Raw genomic sequence first — 17,888 nt, forward strand, 5'->3', positions numbered from 1 at the left:
CTGGGCACCATTGAGCACTGAGTGAACGAGACTCCGTCTGCAATCCCGGCACCTCGGGAGGCCAAGGCTGGCGGATCACTCGCGGTTAGGGGCTGGAGACCGGCCCGACCAACACAGCGAAACCCCGTCTCCACCAAAACCAGTCAGGCGTGGCGGCACGTGCCTGCAATCGCAGGCACTCGGCAGGCTGAGGCAGGAGAATCAGGCAGGGAGGTTGCAGTGAGCGGGGATGGCAGCAGTACAGTCCAGCTTCGGCTCCACATGAGAGGGAGACCGTGGGGAGAGTGAGAGGGAGAGGGAGAGGGAGAGGGAGAGGGAGAGGGAGAGGCCTATTGACTATTTGTATGTTTTCTTTTGAGAAACGTCTATTCAGAGCTTTTGCCCATTTTTAAGTTGGATTATTTGGTTTGCTATTGCGTTGTTTGAGCTTCTTATATATTCTGGTTATGAATCCCTTTTCAGGTGGATAGTCTGCAAATATTTTCTCCCAGTCTATGTGTTGCCTGTTTATTTTGATAATTGTTTTTGTTACTGTGAATAAATATTAGGATGTAATCCTATTTGTATATTTTTATTTTGGTTGCTGGTGCTTTTTTTTCTTTTGAAGTCTTACACAAAAAGTCTTTGCCCAGACCAATGTCCTGGAGCATTTCCCTAATGTTTTCATCTAATAGTTTTATAGTTTCAGGTCTTAGATTTTTGTCTTTAATACATTTTTATTTGATTTTTGTATATGATGAGAGATAGAGGTCTAGTTTCATTCTTCTCCATATAGTTATCCAGCTTGCTTTCTTTATTTTTTTGAGATAGAGATTTGCTCTCGTTGCCCAGGCTGGAGTGCAATGGCATGATCTCGGCTCACTGCAACGTGTGCCTCCCGGTTCAAGAGATTCTCCTGCCTCAGCCTCCCAAGTAGCTGGGATTACAAGCATGTGCCACCATGCCCGGCTAATTTTGTATTTTTAGTAGAGATGGGGTTTCTCTATGTTGGTCAGGCTGGTCTCAAACTCCCGACCTCAGGTGATCTGCCCGTCTCGGCTTCCCTAAGAGCTGGGATTACAGGTTTACAGGTATGAGCCACCGCGCCTGTCCAGTTATCCAGCTTTCTTAGCACCATTTATTGAAGAGACTGTTATTTCCCCATTGTATCTTCTTTGCACATTTGTTGAAGATGAGTTGGCTGTAAAGGCATGGATTTATATCTGGGCTCTGTGTTCTGTCCCATTGGTCTATGTATCTGTTTCCATGGTGCTGATTTGGTTACTGTAGCTTTGTAGTAAATTTTGAAACCAGGTAGTATGATGCTTTTAGTTTTGTCCTTTTTGCTTAGGATTGCTTTGGCTATTTGGGGGTCTTTTGTGATTTCATATAAATTGCAGGATTTAAAAAATTTCTCTGAAGAATGTCATTGGTGTTTCGATAGGATGAATCTATAAATTACTCTGGATAGTATTGTCATTTTAACAGTATTAATTCTTCCAGTCATGAGCATGGAGTAACCTTTCATTTGTGTATATCTTCTTTTTTGTTTCTTTCATCAGCGTTTTGTAATTTTTCTTGTATAGATCTTTCACTTCTTTGGTTAAATTGATTCCTATATATTTTATATTTTTGTAGCTATTATAAATGGGATTCCTTTTTATTTTCCAGATTGTTCACTGTTGGTGTATATAAATGCTACTAATTTTTGTATATTGATTTTGTATCCTGAAACCTTACTGGATTTATCAGTTCTAACACTGCTATTACTGTATTGTGGTCTTTCTCTCCTTTTATATCTATTAATGTTTGTTTTATGTACTTTGATGCTCTGGTGTTAGGCACATAAATATTTATAATTGTTTTATCCTCTTGCTAAGTTGACCTCTTTATTATTATATAGTGACTCTCTGTCTCTTTTTACCATCTTTGATATGTTGTCTATTTTATCTGATGTAAGTATAGCTATTCTTGCCTCTTTATTTCTGCTTGTATGGAATATCTTTTTCCATCCCCCCACTTTCAGTCTGTATATGTGAAATGGGAGAGTTCCCTGACCCCCCCTCTGCAGAAGGTGCAACAGGGGTGTGGCTCATCTGTTCGGCTGCTGCATGCTCAAACCCCTTATGGGAGGAGGGGCACGCAGACAGGCAGGTTCAGGAGCCAGGGCAAGTGCTTTTGGGCTCCGGCCCCACGGTAGCTTCTACAGGTGGGTGCCTGTGATTCTCAAAGCCCCAGTGTGTGTGCCACAGTGCTGTTTTAGCTCTACCATCCACAGACAGCATAAGTGTTAACCAGCTCAGTGCACTCTTTGTACCTGGGTTCTTGTCTGGTGTCCAGCAAGAATCAGGTCACAAACAGATTTGAAGGATGGTGAATGCAGAGATTTTACTGGATGATGGAGGTGGCTCTCAGCAGAATGGATGCGGAGCTGAAAAAGGGATGGAGTGGGGAGATGATCTTCCCCTGGAGTTTGGCTACCCCATGGCTGATCTTCTTTCTGACTGTCCCCAGCTGAACTCCTCTCAATGTTCTGATGCTCCTTCTCTCCTCTCCTTCTCTGCCATGCCACTCTTCTGCTCCTCTGCTCTTTTGTTTGTCTGTCCATGGAGCCTGGGGTTTGGGGTTTATATGGGCACAGGACGGGGTGGGGCATGGCAGGCCAAAGGGCAACATTTGGGCATGGAAACAGGAATGCCTGTTCCCATTTAGGGTTGTAGGTTTCCAGGCCTAGGGGTGGGGCCTTTGCCAGGGAACTGCCCTCGCCTACCCAGTATTTCTCTGTCTACTGTTGATATCATTTTCCCCCTCTGAAGAGGCACATCTAACTGCCATTAGAATATGGACGATGACCAACCTGAGCTACTTCCTGCTGACAGGGGGCATTGTTTTGGGGAAAACAGAAGTCAGATTCCTCCCCAATCTACCTAAGGGTCTCTGGCAAAACGAAGCCATCTTCAGAGGCTCTGGTTGCCTGACCATTTGGAGTTTGATGTCCTAGGTGAGAGAGAAAAAAAAGATTTATAAGGTTAAGTATGCATGGGTTAAACATGTGTATTATACAAGGAAAGAATCGAGTGCCAAAGATTACAGAAATAAGAAGTGAAATATACTAACAATTTGCACCCCAAGCTGTTTTGCCCTAGTGAAAGAAATTAAACCTTGTATGGGAGCAGTTAAACTTTAGAAGAGAGATAACTGTTTTTGCCACATCGGTAGTAGTTAACAGGTGCATTCTGGGAATTCTGGGGTTTGTGGACTTGCATGGTGACTCTTAAGCTTCTGCCTCTTTCTTGTGTCTCCCTATCTCTATTGTAAAAGACCAAGGCAACCACTTTCAGGAGGTTCTCCAAAGTACTATCTGGTCCCAGGGCCTATTTCTGCAACTTCTTCCTTACATCAGGGGCTGCCTGAATAATAAATTTATACTTTGGGGTTAGCTGTCACTTGACAAAATGAGGAGATAGAGAGGTGTACTTTACCAAGGCTCCTCTTAGCCTCTCCAAGAAGGCAATCAGATTTTCTTTTCTCTCCCTATCTTTTTTTTTTTTTTTTGAGACAGTCTCGCTCTGTTGCTCAGATGAGAGTGCAATGGTGTGATCTTGGCTCACTGCAACCTCCATCTCCTGGGTTCAAGCGAGTCTCCTGCCTCAGCCTCCTGAGTAGCTGGGATTACAGGCACCTGCCATCATGCCTGGCTAATTTTTGTATTTTTGGAGAGATAGGGTTTCACCACGTTAGCCAGGCTTGCCTTGAACTCCTGACCTAAGGTGATCCACCAACCTCAGCCTCTCAAAGTGCTGGGATTATAGGCGTGAGCTACCATGCCCAGCCTGCAGTGAGATTTTCATTAAATCCCTGGTCTATCATGGATAGCTTGCTGTAATTGAGTGACTTGGTCCTCGTCCTACATAAGCCTTCCATTATGCATACCTGAAAGTGTCCCCTCTTCCAGTCTCCCATCTCGTCAGTGGGATCCCATTTAGGGTCATTCACTGGTACTGCTTCTCTTTCAGTTGGATAAAGTTCGCCCCCTTCCCTGATGCTATATGTGATACAAAGCTCATCCCCAAATCTCTCTGCTGCTTGCAGAGTGGACTGCTTCTCAGTGTTCCTCAGGGTCCCATTCAAAAGTAACATCACGTCTCTCCAGGAGAGTGCAAATACTTGGGTTAAATTCTGGAAAACCTCTATATATCTGTCGGGGTTATCTGGAAACCTGCTAAGATACCCCTTAATTTGCTTCAAGTCCTGTAGAGAGAAGGGGACCTGGACCTTACTAAAACCAAATTCACCAGGCATCTGTTGGAGGGCAAGAGTGAGACTGGGGCTTGTCTACAGGGAGGACTTCTAGGAGGGGGCAAGCATGAGACTGAAGCTGGATAGGACCTTTCTACAGAAAAGGTCCAACTGCCAGATGGTATCGAAATGAATGGTTCCTTCCTGAGGCCAAGCCAATCCTTCATAATTTGGTGAAACCTTTGTGCAGAGGGATATGAGGCATTTTTTTCTCCAGATTCTGAGGGTCAAAGTAGTCCCAAGGATTCAGGATACACTCCAGAGGAGTATAAGCTGGGGGTGGTGAAGAGAGCTGGTTGCCCATTTTGAAAGACAGGAAAGTAGAAGTGTCCCTCATTTCCCTTCCTTCTTTCAGTGAAAACTCAGGGTGTGAGGGAGAGAGAAAACAGGCAGTCTTCCTTTCTCTTCCATCTTTTCATCCCCGAGTCCCAGCAACCATGGCAGGTGCCACCCACAGGTGTCACTGCAGCCCACACCCGTGAAGCAGGGAGGGCCTAGAAAATAGGAATTGTTCGCACTCACCTATGCCTCCATCCCGCTACTGTTGGCAACTTTGCGTTCCCTGGGCCTTATCTATGCCATGGAGCATGGTCTCCTTTCATGAAGCAGGGATTTAGTCGACAGGAATTGGTCCTGCGCATTTACATTGTGCCTGTTGCCTGGCTTTGAATCCTTCAGATCTGGTTTTCCTTTCTAGGGCTGCAGCCTGGAGCCTGGAATCGAGTTTGGGACAAAAAAAGTATTTCAGAGGCTGCACGGATCTGTTTAGATTAAGTCTCAAATGGGCCCTGGCGAATTTGCAGTTACTAGCAAGCAGGGGTTGCTCCTCCCTATCATAAGCAGAGTGCATGGGGGAAGGAAAGAAAAGAAAACAGTTTAAAGTAAAAAAAAAAAAAGGGGGGGGCGGGGTGGAGGGCGTGGGGGAAGAACTTCTTGCTTTGAGCAAATGGGTTCCTTTAATTATTGTATCTTTCCGCCAGTTTAGACCAGTGAGGATCCTTCAGCCATTGGGGGAATGGCTCCGCCGGCACGGCAAACAGGAGGCACTGGCCAGCTGGCTACGCAGGGTGCCAGCGGCAGCCGTGGTTTTTTCCCACCCGCACCGTGGCCATTGGGTGCAGCTCGTACGTGCTGCAGACTCGCCCAGGTGCCCTAGCCAGAAGGGGAGGGGATAAGGAGAGGAGCCCCTGTGGCCATGGGGTGGGATTCAGGGTCGCACCAAAGGGAAACCACATCGTTCTGAATTGCACCTCTGATGGCTGGGCCAAATGCTCGTTCTATTTAATGTCATTGCCACAGTCTGCAGCAAAATCCTTAACATTATAAAAGAAGAGATAGGAGCCATTTCAAACCGTGAAAGAAGAGATAGCACAGCAAAGTCCAGGTATCTCGGCTGATGGAGTTCAGTCTTGGGGTCTTCCAGCAACAAATAATGCCTTTGTTGCCCCAGGGCTTTACTCCGGTCCTATGTGACGGGTAGACCTCCGTGAAGGGAAACAGCCGATATTCCTTTACCCACAGGAAAGAGAGAGGTGGCAGGCCAGAAGGCAACATTCAGGCACAAAAGCAGAAATGCCTGTTCCCATTTAGGGTCGTGGGTTTCCAGGCTTGGGAGCGGGCCCTTTGCCAGGGAACTGCCCTCTTCTACCCAGTATTTCCCGTCTCTATCTCCTGTCCATATCATCTGTATGGGTGAAGTTAATTTCTTGCAGGTAGCATATAGTTGGGTCTTCTTTATCCATTTAGCCACCCTACACCTTTTAATTGCAGGATTGAGCTCATTTACATTCAGTGTTATCAATAAGTAAGGACTTACTACTGCCATTTTGTTGCTTATTATCTGGTTGTTTTATAACTCCTTTCTTTTTTCCTACTGTCTTTCTTTGTGGTGAAGTGATTTTCTCTTGTAGTATGTTTTAATTTGTTGCATTTCATTTTTAGTGAATGTATTATAGATTTTTGCATTGTGGTTACCATAAGCCTTACAAAAAACATCTTATAGATACGTTATTTTATAAAGAAGTTAATCTATCTTAGATCATAAAGAATAAAAAGGAAAATATTTTTAAAAAATTTTTACACTTTAACTCCACCCCTCCCACAGTTTGACTTCAGTTATCTTAATTTACGTATTACTAATGTTTTAACAGTTTCTGTAGCTGTTATCATTTTTGATAGCTTTGTCTTTTAGGCTTCATACTAAGTTATGAGTGGGTTGAACACCATAATTATAGTATTAGAGTATTCTGGGTTTGTCTGTGTACTTAATTTTATCAGTGGGTTTCATACCTTCAAATGTTTTTTCATTTGTTTGCTTAAGTTATATTTTTTCATGTTAGTGTTTTTTTCTTTCAGATCAAAGAGTTCCCTTTAGTGCTTCTTGTAAAATGAGTCTAGTGTTGGTGAATTCTCTCAGCTTTTGTTTCTCTAGGGAAGACTTTACGTCTCCTTTATATTTGAAAGATAACTTTTCTGGATACAATATTCTTGCATGGCAGTGTTTTTCTTTCAGCACTTTGAAAATGTTGCTCAACTCCCTGCTGTTCTGTATGATTTCTATTGAGAAGTCTGTTACTAGATGAACTGGAGGTCCTTTATATGCTATTAGCCTCTTTTCTATTTCTGTTTTTTTTTTTGTATTTTTCTCTCTGTCCTTGACTTTTGGGTGTTTGATTATTATAGTCCTTGGGGTAGTCTTATTTGGGTCAAATCTGTTTGGTGTTCTCTGACCTTCCTGTACCTGGATACTTATCTCTTTCTCAAGTTTTGGAAAGTTTTCAATTATTATTTTTTTTTAAATAAATCTTCTATCCCTTGCTCTTGCTCGACTTCCTCTCAAACACCAGTAATTTGATTTTCTCTTTTGAGATCACTTTCTATATCTTGTAGGCAACCTTTGTTGATTTTTATATTTTTTCTTCTTTTTTCTTCTCTGTGTATTTTAAAATAGACTGTCTTCAAGCTCACTGGTTCTTTCCTCTCCTTGATCCATTTTGCTGTTGAGAGCCTCTAATGAATTTTTAAGTTCAGCAAATGTATTTCTAAGTTCCAAGATTTCTGTTTAATTTCTTTTATTATTTCAACTTGTTTGTTAAATTTCTTCAATGGCTTTCCGAATTGTTTTTCTGTGTTATCTTGGAGATCACTGAGTTTTCTTAAAACTACTATTTTGAATTCTTGGTCAGAGAGCTCACATATCACCATCTCCTTAGTGTTATTTTCAGGTTCCTTGTTTTGATCCATTTGGGAAGATTGTGGTTCTCTGTTTGCTCTTGTTTCTTGTGGGTCTACGTATGTGTCTTTGCATTAAAGAGTTATTTATTCCAGTCTTCTCTGTCTGGCTTGTTTTGTTTTATATTGAATATATTTGCTTAGAGGTTTTTTGTTGTTTGTTTGTTTTGAGACAGAGTTTTGCTCTGTCACCCAGACTAGAATGCAGTGGTACAAACATGGCTCACTGCAGCCTCAACTTCCTGGGCTCAAGTGATCCTCCTGCCTCTGCCTCCCAAGTAGCTGGGACTACAGGCAAGCACCACTATACCCAGCTAATTTTTTTAATAGAGATGATGTCTCACCATGTTGCCCAAGCTGGTCTACTAGGTCACAGCCTCCTTTTCAGCTCTAGGAGGTACCTAAACCTCAGAATTGCCTCAGTTCTAGTAAAGGATTGGAGCACTGCTCTTCCCAAACGGAGGGGATCTCAAAGGGAATATCCTGGCAGTGTGGGAAGGCTAGCTAGGGGTTTGTGCCTATGGGACCTGTGGGACAAACCTCCTACAGTGTGATGTTGCTGAACAATCACTCTGATTTGACGTCTCCTTTGGCTGATCTATAGAGCAGAGTTTCCAGAACTGGGGATGGTAGCCCCACTTACCCGCTTTGCCTCTCCTCAGGAACAAATTTCCCTTCAGGCACTCTGAATTCTTCCCATGAAGATGCTTCCCCTGCCAGAAAACCCAAGATGGTGGAGAAGCTGCTTTTAAACCTCAATCTCACTTTTTGCATTGTAGAAACAGCAAGTTGGGGGAAAACTTTCCATGCACTGTTGCTGGGCATAATGCGGGGAGGGGTATCTCAGATGTGGAAATCCAATTATCTTACCATCTGCTCAGAGTTTTTTCACTTCTCTGCATCTCTGGGAACTGTCTCATATTATATTTGAGTTCCAGGATATTTCTGGCAAAAATCTCAGCATTGTACATTTGTTTTTGTTTTTCTAGGGTGTGGTGGGTGGGAAGTGAAGCCAGCATCCTTCCATGCTGCCATTTTGGTACTCTATGTTACTACTTTTTATTTGTCCCTTCTGTTCTATATTTCTTTTTCTTTCCTTTTAGTTTTCTTTTAGATTAAAATGGGGGGGGGTAGGTCAGTAATTTCTATATTTTTTCTCTGGTCATGTGTTTTCTTCTTATTTTAGTGACTACCATATAGATTTCCAAATGCATCCCTGACATATTAAAGTTTGATGTAAACCAGTATTCCTACTGCATATGTATTATTGTTTTATGAGTCAATATTTATTTAGGTTAACTCACATATTTAACTGTTTCTTTCTTTTTCATTGATTTTTGTTCTGCCAAGCTGCCATCTGGAAATTTTTTTTATGTCTAAAGAATGCCCTTTGATATTTCCTTTAGTGTTCATCTGAAAAATGTCTTTATTTTGCTTTTATTTCTGAAGAATACAGTTTCTGGATGGAGAATTCTTCTTGGAGTTGTTTTCTATTAACACTTTGAAAATGTTATCCCATTGTCTGTTGGCTTCCTTAGTTCAATTTGAGGAGTCACCTGTCAGTTTTCATTGACATTGCTTAGTAGAAGAAAATAGTTCTTTTTTTCCCTTGTTTCTTTTTACTCTCACATTTTATCTTTGTCTTTGCTTTTGTGTAACTTTACTATAATATGCCTCAGGTTTTATGCTACTTGTAGCTTCAGAACTTCCGGACTAGATATCTTTTTTCAGTTTTAGGGAATTTTCAGTTATTATCTCCTTAAGTATTTTTCCTGCTCCATTCTATCTATTCTGATAATTTTATTATACATATTTTTGACATTTTAAGTATATTTCGTATACTTTTTTCTGTATTTTTCATTTTTCCCCCTCTGTGTGTTTCAGTCTGGATATGTCCTTTGCATCTAACTCCTAGTTCAACAATTTTCTCTTTAGTTGTGTATAATCTGTCATTCGACTCATCTACTAGTTGTTACTTTTCTTACTTATAATCATTAAACTTTTTATTTCTAGAATTTACATTTTCTTATAATATTGTCTATTTTGATATTTTCCTTTGTCTTATAATTACTTGAATTATATTAATAATAGTCACTTTAAAGTTCATATTTGACTTTTCTGTGCTTATTTCAAGTGCCATTTTCCCCCCTTGGTTTTTGGTGAAGTCTTTTAAAATATCTTGTTATTTCTGCTTGATTTATGTGAACATCATTGGTGAAAATTTGTAGAGCCAATTTGAACCTCCGGATGAAGTTATTTTCCTCCAGAGAAGATTTTTACTTCTGACATACACTAAACTAGTAGCATCCAGATAACCTTAATTTACTCAGGGATTAAGTTGTTTCAAAGCTAGTTCTCATTCCCTTCATGATGAACTATTTATTGTTTTCTTTAGTCTTTGGAGTTCCAACTGAAAGTTTGAGGTGTTTATCAGGGCCTCTTCTCCTTTTGCCCCCTTCTGTCCTGAGAATCTGCCAAAAGCTCTGCTAAATTCCCCAGTAGCAATTTGTTTACATAATTGTCAAATGTCTTAAGAATAAAAGCAATATCCAATGTTTTGCCCATTTTCTAAAGACCTATGGCTTTGTCTTGTGTCCCATTGTGACTTTAACACTGCAAATGCCTTTAGGGTGGCTAAAGTATTGTTATAAACTGACATTCCTGGTTTTTAGTATCCTCATTGTTTCTAACCTCTATATATTGATTTTGTCTTAATTTTTTATAAATTTACTTTCACTTTGAAAGTGTATTATTTTTATGCAGTATTTCTAGGTGTTTTGTATTGGGAGGGTTTTTGTTTTGCTTTGTTTTGTTTATTTATTTGTTTATTTTATATCTGGTCTTCCATAGTCTAGATTTTCTTTTTTCACTTAGTTGCATTTATTTAGATCCAACATATATTTCTATTGCTTTTAATACTTTCTGTATGCTTTCTGAAAGTATTGCCAAACTACACACAAGTTTCCTGTGTGGGTACATTCTATTTAAAAACCATTTTAAAACAATGACTATATAACTAGGTCATGTTCTAATTTCTGTAAGTCAGATGAGTAATACACCATCTCTGCCCTTGATGAGTTCATAGTCTATGTTTTCTTCTGCAATATTAACCTCAAAGGGCTCTTATAATACTGAGATCCATGAAATCTATTGTTCTTCAATAATAAAGTTTTGTTTTTATTATTTAAAATTATTTTTATAAACAGAGTCTTACTCTGTTGACCAGGCTGGAGTGCAGTGGTGTCATCATAGCTCACTGTAGCCTCAAACTCCTGGGCTCAACTGATCTTCTTGCCTCAGCCTTCCAAGTAGCTAGGACCACAGGTGCATACTACCACACCCAGTTAATTTTTAAATTTTCTTGTAGAGATGGAGTCTCACTGTGTTGTCCAGACTGATTTTAATCTCCCAGCCTCAAGTGATCCTCCCACTTTGGCTTCCCAAAATGCTGGGATTATAGGCATGAGCCACTGTGCCCAGGCAATAATGATATTTTGATATATTTGGGAGAATAATGGTTTCTAAATGGCAATAGGGAACCAGACACCAATTCTGAACTTGCATGGTGTGCTAGAATATCATTTGAGAAACTTACAGGGGAAGCAGTGTCCGTGGGAAAGAAAATGGTTTTTATTAAAACAAGAAGATGGAGGGAACTCTTAAAAGAAGAAGTCAAGCATCTGTGAAAGTTTGCTTATTACAAAGCAGGGATTCCAGGGGACAAGTGGAAAGATTTAGGATAGGACAATAGCAGTGTCAAGGAAGACGGAATGTCATGTGGAATATGGTCTAGTAAAAGCAGCTGGTTGGAGGAGGCCTGACATTTGACATTAACTAATGTAACGAGGAGAGAGGCAATCTCTCTGAGGAAGGTGGGCGCTAGACTTAAAGGCCAACATACTTATATAACATAACCTGGACTGATGTTCATGTCAGGGGTATCAGTCATCCCTAAGTCTGTTCTTAACACTAGATGAACTTAACCTGAGATGGCAGCAGTTGTGGGGACAGGGATTTTTTCACATGAACTTTATGTCTGAAAAATATCCTTGCTAGTTTTTCCCTTTTCATTGCTTATAATATAGTGTTCTCCAACTTAGTGATTTTTTTTTTAGATTTTAAAATGGAAATTATCAAGGAAACAAAGACAGTTTCACGCTCAAATAGGAAAATGTCCTTGCTCAAAAGAACTCTTGTAAGGAAGCCATCAATGAGACCCAGGTGAGATATAGAATCTGTTTACAGCAACATCTTCAGGTACATGCTTTTGAAAAACCTCAACATGTCTAATGGTAAACTTATCTTTCTATGTGTAGGTTTTCAGACCCTTTTCCATATACAATACATACAGGTACAGACACTCTTAGTATTTTAAATCATTTATTTTCTAAAATTAGCACTATGCTATATATGTATATATTATACAATAACTTTTCAAACTTAAACTATCATAGACATCTCATGTCTGTATGTGCAGATCTACCTCCTTCCATGAGTGTAGTATAACTTATATAGACATTTACATTGTCTTTAATTTTTTAATTGCTATAAATAGTATCACAATAAACATCTTTATACATGTTTCTTTGCCTGTTTGTGTTTTCTGGATTATGTACTGCTGTAGTAGCCTCCTAACTGGTTCCTTACTTCTTGTCTCTCTCCACTTATAATCAATCTGAGAATCAAACTCTGGTAAGGTCCCACAACTAGGCAAATACTCTGTGGCCTTTTCTTTCAGGAGTGCCCACCCACCTTTCTTTCCATGTACCTTAGCATAAGTGCCACCTATACATAAAAATTTCTCCAAATATTATGTTTGCTATAACTTCCTTCTCTTCTGAAACCCTAAAGGTCTAAAGTACAATATCAAGCATTTATATGTACTACTTTTTACCGGTCTTTACTTTTTAGGTATGTTTTCCAACTTCTTGACTTGACTATAATTTTCTTGTAGGCCATGGCATTCACTTACTCATGTATTCATTTTTATTCAGTTACTATCTATTATCTATCTATAATGGCTAGCTATATAAAAGGTCCTCTTCTAGATGTTGAGGATATAGTAGAACATATACATTTGCTAGTCAAAATCTCTGGCAGAATATTTTGCGTAGAAAAAACTCCCACAAAACATTTTCTTTTTTTTAATTAATTTTTTTTTCTTGAGACAGAGTCTCACTTTTTGTGTCCCAGCTGGAGTGCAGTGGCTCAATCACAGCTCATTGCAGCCTCGACCTCCCTAGGCTCAAGTGATCCACGTGCTTCAGCCTCCCGAGTAGCTGGGACTACAGGCACATGCCACCATGCCTGTTTTTTTTTCTTTTTTTTTTTTTCTAGAGACTGGGTCTTGCCCTGTTGCCCAGGTTGGTCTCAAACTCCTGGGCTCAAGTGATCCTCCCACCTTAACCTTCCAAAGTGCTGAGATTACAGGCATTTGTACCCAGCCAAGAATGTTTTCGTTTATTGATGACATTCATTGAGGGTGATAAGTCTTTTGTCTCTTCTAACCACTCTAGATAGATCTTCCTCCCTTTCAGCAACTGAAATTATTCTCTGAGGTTCAATCATTTGTCACTTTTGCTTTTCTAATTTGTCCTAGTCACTGGTCTCCATTATGCCTGTAGAAATACTTATTTTCCAATTTACTTAAGCATGAATACCACAGAAGTCTTAAATCACATATCTGTAAGATCATTAAGTCCTAGAAGACATATCAGGGTCATATCATCTAGTTTCATGACTTCAGTTAAGACCAAGCAGAATAGCTCAGGGATACCACAGCTGCAATTCTCTTAAACCTTTTCCCTACCCCTTATTCAATAAGTAAATGACTATTGATTATATACTGTATTCTAGACACTCTGTGAGTGCTAATGATACAAAAACTAAGACATAGTCCTTGCCCTTAATCTAATTATGTAACTAAAGACAATGCAAGGCTGACCTTAAAATGTTATGATAACATATTAGCTAATTACTATGGGAGTGAAAGGAGAGAGAAATTTTGAGTGAGGATCAGGAAAATTAGAATATCAGAAGATGCTCAGAATAACATATGCAAATTCAATTACAAAGAAATTAGAGTATTTTGTAGGTAGGGATAAACCCTACTCAAAGGCGAAGATACAACACAAAGCTATAAACTCATGAATATAAACATAATATTCAAAGACTTAAAAATAGTCCAGTGATGTTGAAGTATAGAGTGCATGCGGTGAAGGGACATAAAACATAAAAAGCCAGACTGAGACCAAATAATTAGAAAAAGGTATTGGGTAGATTATTAAGGAATTCGCATTGATTAAATGGCAATAAGGGGATTCTTTGGGGTTTGTTGGAGCAGCAGGTGGCAGAAATATCTACTATATGGATTTTTAAAATATTAGTCTGACAGAAATGAGAGTATATAAGGAGTCAGACATCCAGAGGTTGAAGGCAGAGATAATATAGTTGGAAGGTCTTTGCAGTTGTTCAGGCAAATGATAAAGATCTGAGGTAAACAGTGCAAGTGGAAGTGGAAGGGAAAATACAGATGTACAAAGCAATGAAGGGAGAAAATCAGACTTCTGGAATGGTAGAGCAAGAACATTCTAAGTAGTCTCTCCATAAAAGTAAAACTGGGAAAACCAGTCAAAAAGAATTTCAGAACTCTGTAAATTAACGGAAGGCATTTAACAAATAAAAAATTGCTTATCCAAGAAAACTACCAAACCTCAGTAAGAATAGTGTAATCTGTGGCATAGTAACTTCTAACTACTCACATCACCAAGCTTGACAGCCATGAGTGCCAGCCATCTTGCTGCCAACAGAGGGCACTGATATGGTTTGAAGCTCCACAAAAAAGCCAATGACCAGGAGCACTGTCAAAACCGATAGTAAGCCTTGTGGCCAAAAAATTGGGAGGCCACTATCACAGCCACTTAAGGCAGTGATACTAGTTGAGCAAGCAGTAAAACATTTAAAAGTAAAAAAGGGAAATCTGGGAGCAAGATATTCCCAAGGGACTGTGCAAATGCTGTGCAGATGCTCAAGAGAGACCGAAGAGGAACCCAGTTATCTATTTATCATTGGGTGATCATGAGGCCCTGAAAACTAGTATAAAAAAGAAAAATAAGAATTAAAAAGAGAAAAAACTGAGCAGACACTTTAGTAGCCACACACTTTAGGGGAGATATACTCTACAGAACTAGCCCGATAAGTCATTTAACAAAAAGCGAAACATAAAAAGCAAACAAAACCATCAACAGCAGCAACCTTTGGTGGATGAGGGATGGGGTGTAAATTCAGACTCCAGGGTTGTGATAATATATTATCCCAAATTCAACTTTAAACAAAAAATTATAAGACACACACACAAACAAAAATCCCAGGAAAGTATGGTCCATCCACAGGGAGAATAAAGGCAGTCAACAGAAACTCTCTCTAGGGTGATTCAGATGTTAGACTAAAGACTTCCAAGCAATAGGTTCAACAAACTAAAGAAAATCATGTGTAAAGAATTAAAGGAAGGTATGATGATAATGATTAACCAAATATAGAATATCAATAATGAGATAGAAATTATAAAATATAATGAAAAAATCTGGAGTTGAAAAGTACATAACTGAAATGAAAAATTTACTAGAGGCAATCAATAACAGATTTAAGTTGACAAAAGAATCATAGAGATCCACACATAGACACATCACAATCAAACTGTTGAAATATAAAGACAGAAAAATCTTGAGTGCTGCAGGAGAAAAAGAACATATATTCAAGGGAACTACAGCAAGATTAAAGTTTATTTCACATCAGAAACAATGATACCAAAGGTAGTGAGATTACATATTTAAAGTAAAATCAAAGAAAATAAATAATAACTATTAGTGTGTAGATACATAAAATAAAGAGAAAAACAAAGAAAATCCAGGTAAATAAGTTAGTTTTTTGTAGAGATTAATAAAATTGTTAAACTGTAAGATATATTGACCACGGGGAAAAAAGATGACACAGATAATTAAAATCTGGATTTAAAGAGGGCATATAATCACTGCCCTGCAAAAATTAATAAGACTGTAAGGAAATGCAAGAAACAAAGTAGGCAACTTAGATGCAATACATAAATTTCTAGAAATACCCAAATTATTGAAGTAAGCTAGCTATGTTTCAAGGAAAAGTAGAAAATGTGAATAAATCTATAATAAGAAAAAAATTGAATTAGTAATTAAAATTTTCTCACATAGAAACACTCAGGCACAGGCAGCTTCACTGGAGAATTCTATGAAATATTTAAAGGATAAATAATGTCAATATTCCATGAACTCTTTGAGGAAACAGTGAAAGAAGTAACACTTGCCAACTTATTCTATGAGGCCAGTATTTTCCTGATCCCAAAGCCAGACTGAAGACATCATAAGAAAAGAAAACCATAGACCAATACTCCCTCTAGTTTCTAGATATGAAAACCTTCAATACAATATTAGCAAATCAAATCCAGCAATATATAAAAAAGATCAGTGGCCAGGCATGGTGGCTCATGCCTACAATCTCGGCACTATGGGAAGCTGAGGTAGGCAGATTGCTTGAGCTCAGGAGTTTAACACAAGCCTGGGCAACATGGTGAAACTCCGTCTCTAAAAAAAAAAACACAAACATTATTAGCAGGGCATGGTGGTGCACACCTGTAGTTACAGCTACTTGGGGGCTAAGCAGGGAGATCACTTGAGCCTGGGAGGTCAAGGCTTCAGTGAGCTGTGTTCGTGTCACTGCACTTCAGCCTGGGTTACCAAGTGGAATTTATCCTAGGAATACAAGGAATGCAAAAACCAGTTAATACACCATGTTAATAAAATAAGGGGGGAGAAATTCACATGATTATCTCAATTGATGTAGAAAAAAAGGCTTTTACAAAATCTAAGACACATGTGTGATTTTTAAAACTCTCAATAAAATTAGAATAGAAGGGAACTATCTCATTCTGATAAAGGGCATCTATTAAAAATCTATGGCTAACATTATACTTAATGAAATAGGTGTATAAAGGAAGAAGAAGTAGGTCAAGATGTGGGTATTTGTAAAGAGGTTTAACTAATAACTATAACATAAAGATGAGGTTTGACGTGGGCAGTTGAAATGTAGAAGTGGAGTTCATGGGAACTGGAGATATAGTTTTGCTATATTAATAAAATTTAAAATCACTTCCTCATATCAATAAAAATTGAAATCACAGAGGAGGCACAGATTACCCAGGAAAAACCATAAGGCAAAAGAATAGAGGATTAAAGATGAAACATTAGGGGCACCTTTATTCAAGGAGCAGTGAAAGAAGAAATCAGCAAAGGAAATTTAGAAACATTAATCAAAAACTGCTAATCATGCTCCACCTCACAGAAATGACTGCTAATTAGGAGTCGTTTTGAACCCATAATGTAAAAAGAGAATTCCCTTGAAAAAATTGTCCTCATTAAAATATCTTCCTTCCTTCATCTTCCATTAGGAAGGAAGATATTGGACCAAGCTTAGAAATGGTACATAAAAGTTCAAGTTAATCACCAAAGAAATAGACAGATTTAGCCAATCCATCCACAATGCTTTTCACATATGGCTAAAGGCCTTATAGCCTGGTCAATGCACTTCCCCATTTCCTAATTGAAACAGAATCCAGAATCATCATTCCTTTCTCTCTACCAAAGATGCTTTCTTGTTTTCCAGAAACTTGACAGAAGTCCTCTTAAATACACAGCACTTGGAGTTCTTCAGGGAGTTCCTCAAGGAACGGAAGGCTAAAATCCCATTGCAATTTCTCACAGCTGTACAGAAGATCAGTATAGAGACCAATGAAAAGATTTGCAAGTCTCTCATAGAAAATGTAATCAAGACTTTCTTCCAAGGCCAACTCTCTCCTGGTATGCATCCTCTTCTGATCCTGTTTTCTCTCTCTCTTTAGTGTCTTAGGAGAATAGCCTGGGAAATAGCCTACCTCATGTGAGCCCCCAGAGAGAGCAGTACAGAGCAGCAGCCACATGGGGCAATATTGAGACAGATTAAGAGGGTAGGCAAAAGCAGAGAACAGTAATAATAAATTCAAAGTCTTAATACGAGTTGTATTAATCCGTTCTCACACTGCTGTGAAGAAATGCCTAAGACTGGGTAATTTATAAAGAAAAGAGGATTGATTGACTCACAGTTCCACATGGCTGGGGAGGCCTCAGGAAACTTATAATCATGGCAGAAGGCACCTCTTCATGGAGCAGCAAGAGAGAGAATGAGTGCCAAATGAAGGGGGAAGCCCCTTGTAAAATCATCAGATCTCATGAGAACTCACTCACTATCATGAGAACAGCATGGGGGAAACCACCCCCATGATTCAATTATCTCCACCTGGTCCTGCCCGTGACACA

The 17,888-nt window shown here is 39.1% G+C and overlaps 1 protein-coding gene across 15 annotated transcripts in view; it reads left to right on the plus strand.

The window, feature by feature from the left end:
* RGSL1 (regulator of G protein signaling like 1) overlaps nucleotides 1–17,888 on the plus strand; it is a 112,721-nt gene that overhangs the window by 62,503 nt on the left and 32,330 nt on the right. For all 15 annotated transcript variants that reach the window (XM_017001193.3, XM_017001191.1, XM_017001192.3 and 12 more), the window contains 2 exons: nucleotides 11,625–11,730; nucleotides 17,200–17,393. In XM_017001193.3, the coding sequence (XP_016856682.1) occupies nucleotides 11,625–11,730; nucleotides 17,200–17,393 (300 nt within the window). The remainder of the gene's footprint in view (nucleotides 1–11,624; nucleotides 11,731–17,199; nucleotides 17,394–17,888) is intronic.

This window comes from Homo sapiens, chromosome 1, assembly GCF_000001405.40.
Source record: "Homo sapiens chromosome 1, GRCh38.p14 Primary Assembly".
NCBI classification, from domain to species: domain Eukaryota; kingdom Metazoa; phylum Chordata; class Mammalia; order Primates; family Hominidae; genus Homo; species Homo sapiens.